Here is a 1,273-nt window from a genome sequence, read left to right on the forward strand (position 1 = left end):
GTATTATAGATAGGCCAAGAGAATGTTGCAAAAAAATTTGGAAAAAAGTATTACGGAGTCGTGTCAGGCACCCAATTAATAAAAAGCGTTGCTTTTTTTTCCCGGAATTGTATATGTCTATGTATTTGTCAGCATTTAAAAACTTATAATTTGGCTTTTAAAAATCATTCTAATAAATCTTGCTTTCATACTTAACTTTTATTTAATGGATTATATTTCTTGAAGAATTTCCCCAATTGCGTAAGTTTTAGATCCCAAATCTGGATCCTGATGGGTCCTAGACAGCTAGTATCTGAGGAGAGAGAACCCTCCGGTCACTGATGTTTCTGGGAAGACATGGAAGAGTCAGCCAAAGTTGGAGGGGGGTAACTGAATCAGAGTTCAAGGTCAGCAGAAGAAAGACAGGGATGAAAGTTGGAATGAAGAGAAAGGCCTCAGGGTTTCCCTTTAATCAAGAGATTAAGTAGGGAATTGTTAATAATAAAATCATTACTGGGCCTAGTGGCTCACACTTGTAATCCCAGCATTTTAGGAGGCTGAGGCAGGAGGATCTTTTGGGGTCAGGAGTTTGAGACCAGCCTGACCAACATGGTGAAACCCCGTCTCTACTAAAAATACAAAAAAAATTAGTCACCCGTGGTGGCACATGCTTGTAGTCCCAACTATTTGGGAGGGTAAGGCAGAAGAATCACTTGAACCAGGGAGGTGGAGGTTGCAGTGAGCCGAGATTGTGCCATCGCACTCCAGCTTAGGCAACAGAGTGAGGCTCTGCCTCAAAAGAAAATAATAATAATAATAATAGGCCAGGTGCAGTTGCTCACGCCGGTAATCCTAGCACTTTGGGAGGCCAAGGCAGGTGGATCACCTGAGGTCAAGAGTTTGAGACCAGCCTGGCCAACATGGTGAAATCTCCTCTCTACTGAAAATACAAAAAGTAGCCCGGCATGGTGGCGGGTGCCTGTAATCCCAGCTACCTGGGAGGCTGACGCAGGAGAGCTGCTTGACTCTGGGAGGCGGAGGTTGCAGTGAGCCGAGATAGCACCACTGCACTCCAGCCTGGGTGACAGAGCAAGACTCCATCTCAAAGTAATAGTAATAATAATGATAATAAATAAAATAAAATTATCATCATCATCATCAAAAATAAAATAATGACTAAATATATATTCATTAACTGTTTTACTTTAACTCAATGCAAAGGCACCTTCATCTGGCAGGTGTAGGGCAAGGCTAAAGTCTTCTCTCGAAGTCTGAGTCCTCTAACAGAGCTGCT

The sequence above is a fragment of the Homo sapiens genome, chromosome 10 (genome assembly GCF_000001405.40).
Source record: "Homo sapiens chromosome 10, GRCh38.p14 Primary Assembly".
Classification (NCBI taxonomy): Eukaryota; Metazoa; Chordata; class Mammalia; order Primates; family Hominidae; genus Homo; species Homo sapiens.